The sequence below is a fragment of the Homo sapiens genome, chromosome 10, assembly GCF_000001405.40.
Source record: "Homo sapiens chromosome 10, GRCh38.p14 Primary Assembly".
Classification (NCBI taxonomy): Eukaryota; Metazoa; Chordata; class Mammalia; order Primates; family Hominidae; genus Homo; species Homo sapiens.
In genome coordinates, this window is record NC_000010.11 from 118,481,037 (window position 1) to 118,484,502 (window position 3,466).

The window sequence follows — 3,466 nt, forward strand, 5'->3', positions numbered from 1 at the left end:
AATGAGATCATGTCCTTTGCAGGGGCATGGATGAAGCTGGAAGCCATCATTCTCATTAAGCTAACACAGGAACAGAAAACCAAACACCACATGTTCTCACTCATAAGTGGGAGTTGAACAATAAGAACACATGGACACAGGGAGGGAAACAACACACACTGGGGCCTTTTTGGGGGTGGGGGCAAGGGGAGGGAGAGCATTAGGACAAATACCTAATCCATGCAGGGCTTAAAACCTAGATGACGGGTTGATAGGTGCAGCAAACCACCATGGCACATATATAACCATGTAACAAACCTGCACATTCTGCATACGTATCCCAGAACTTAAAGTAAAAAAATAATAATAATAAATTAAACATAAAACATAGAATAAAACGCAAGTGTGTCATTGTTTCCCTTGAGTCATTACAGGTTCTTGTTATTAATGCCTTTCAGAAAATTTGAAACTGTATGAAACTCAGTCATACACAATTAATATATTAAGACATTTTCCCATTCTGCTAGGCTTCTCCTTTGCCAAGTGTGAAACTGACTTAGTCATGTTACAAGAAAATATGGCCATGTATCTTTTCACTCTTGGTATCGAGGAAATGCATCTTGTGGCCTCAAGCATGGGTATAATTATATTTATTTATTCAAAACAAATAATGTTGAGACTGCTAGGCTGTATAAAATAACTGCCACCAAGGGTAAGAGAAGATTGCCTGGTAATATCCTTTTTTTGTAAACCTAAGGATAAAAACAAATGAATCAGTTGGTTTTTAGCTATTTTTGGTAGATGGACTTTTTGCAAGTACCTACCACAAAGTACTGTTGTGAGAATTAGATTTATTTTATCTTTATTTCTTCAACAAATACTTACGTAGTGCTTATGATGTGCCAGTCATTCAACTAAGGCTATATATTACATACACTGACCAAATTAATTATCATGACCACATTTTGATGTTGGTTCAATATCCTCATGGATGTGGAAACGCAGACGCAGAGAGGTTCTATAGTCACTGCCTCATACGTGGGAGAGGTACACAGTGTGTGAGTCATATTTGGAACTTAGCAAACATGAGGGACCATTTCCTCCCAGGTCACACTGACTATCCAAGTTGAAAAGTGGATGAATGCAACTTCAACATTTATAAGGCTGGGAAAAAATGAGATATTTCTGATTTACAACGATTTTAGAACTTAGGTAGAATACGATGTACATATAGTTCAACCTTTCTGCTATTTCTTATTCGAAAGAAATTGAGACATTAGAAAAGAATCATTGAGAGAATACACAGGTCACTGATTTTGTGATGTTCTTACTGGGTATAATAACATAGGAATCAGTTCTCAAATCTCAGTGATTCTCTGAAAATACTTAATTGGAGAAATCTAGACTAAACAATTTACTATTTAAAATGCTTGAACTTGTCACATTTTTTAAGAATCAGTTGGAGGTATTTTAAGAGAAACAGCTGCTATAAATGGATTTGTTTGTCCAAATAGGATCCTCTATTTGGTGGTTCCATGGTAATTTACCATCTGCCCCCCAAAAGTGCTGTACAGGCAAAATTTCTGATCACAGTCCAAATTGCAGAGAAAACTTAATGTGCATTTGAAATTAATCAACCAGCAAACACACGGGTATATCTGAGTGTATAGACATTTCATGGACCCGCTGTATTTAAAGGATTTTGCCGAAGACACGGAAAAAGGTACAAAGACCAGTAGGACACAAGGGCCTTGGAGAAGCTTTCGTCTGAGAGAGAAGATAAAATAAAGGCATATTCAAACATAACCAATGAAATAAATAGGAAGGCATAACGGCAAGGAGAGAATATTGTCAGTGATGACTTAGAGAGCGCAGAGAGGAATAAGACCACAGTGGACTGGGCTGAACTGGACAGGACTGAGCAGGACTGGGCGGGAGAATTGGGACCATGACTGGCTCCTGGGACTTCTGCCGAATCACACAGGAAGCAAAGGATTTGGCTCATGAGGAAGGGAGAGGGCAGTCCACGCTGTCTGTTCATTATCACTCCAATGCACATTGCTCCGAGCCCGTCAGTTTGATTTATGTTTCTTCTATTTAAGTAGAATAATCCAGATGTAATTTTTCTGCCTATGATGCTCTGCTCTTTTGCTGCATTTTGTGGCTGAGTTTCTCTTTGTGTGCTCCATCCATCACGTACGTGGCCGTGTTTACTTTGCTCTCTCATTCCCTGTATGTCTCATGAATAACAAAATTATAGAAACAGATCGAACATGTTTGAAATAATTCACATCGTGGTGAACCTTTTGGGTGGCCTGTATCACAGGCATTATCCCTTTATCTTTTCTCCTTTTCCCACTGTGCCTCAAGACATTAATGGTTAATGGGTAGTTGCAAAACAGCATTTCCTCTCCAAAGAAATGCCACAAGAAAGAGCACAAAAGAAAGTGTTAATATATGTTTCATTGTACACTGAGGTTTGGTGGTATTTCCAGACAGACCTGTGTTTTCTTTAATATTCTATCTGATAGGGGCATATCAGAAATGCAGCAGCTGATAGGGGGTTCATTGTCCCCATCTGGGTTGGTAGGAGGGGTAATGTGCTTCATGATTGGGGCTGGCCAACGTGACCCAGTGGGGTAGGTGGACTCCGTCAGTAGGTGAACTGACCCACCTGTAGGGGCGCTGCTCTGGGATCCAGAAGTCCAATACGTGGCCCCAGAGGGGTCTCTCGGTAATTGATGGGGGAAGGGGTGTGGTCCACCCAAAAGAGTGGCTCCAATAATGGGGATTCTCATAGGCAGGTCACGCTAACACAGTTCTGGAAGATCAGTCCATCCTATACCCCATGACTGGAGGTGTGAAAATGGAATTCAAGCACGTGGGGATGAATATGCTGGCAGGAGAAAGGCATGGCATCAGCATCCCCAGCAGTGGGCCAGGATTGAGGCAAAGCTACAAACCCGCTGGAAATCTGCTTACAACAAAATATGACATGAGGCTCACCCCAGACACGGAATCTCTAGCGGTGCAATGAATTCCATGCATTTCTGGTGGATCAAGGTCACCCACTGGGTCAGGACTGACTTCAGAACAATCTTGGAGGAGTTTCTGGAAGGGGGCAACAGCAGAGATCTTGAGTCAACTAGCAAGGGCCAACATCAGTTCCAAACAACTACATGTCCTCCAATGCTGGTTTTTTTCTCTTTTATTGAACTCTGTCCTACATAAAGTACACAAATCTTAAGTGATAGATTTTTACGATATACATATACTTGTGTAACCACCACCCAGATAGAGATACAGAACATTAACAGCACCCGGAAATCTCTGATAGCCCTTCCCAGTCAATAACCATCATTTTGGCTTTTATTATCGTACATTAGCTTGACCTGTGGTATGTACTCTTAGCATCTGTCTTCTTTTGCTTGATACTAAACCTATGAGACACTTCCGTGTTGCTGCATGTTGCTATAATTTGTTCATT

General features: G+C 40.9%; 1 annotated feature.

Moving 5' to 3' along the window:
* Positions 861 to 1,155: an enhancer, noted in NCBI's record as "tiled region #4791; K562 Activating DNase matched - State 6:EnhF". NCBI's record gives its function as "activates a minimal TATA promoter and a strong SV40 promoter by Sharpr-MPRA in K562 cells {active_cell/tissue: K562}" and the evidence as "EXISTENCE:reporter gene assay evidence [ECO:0000049][PMID:27701403]".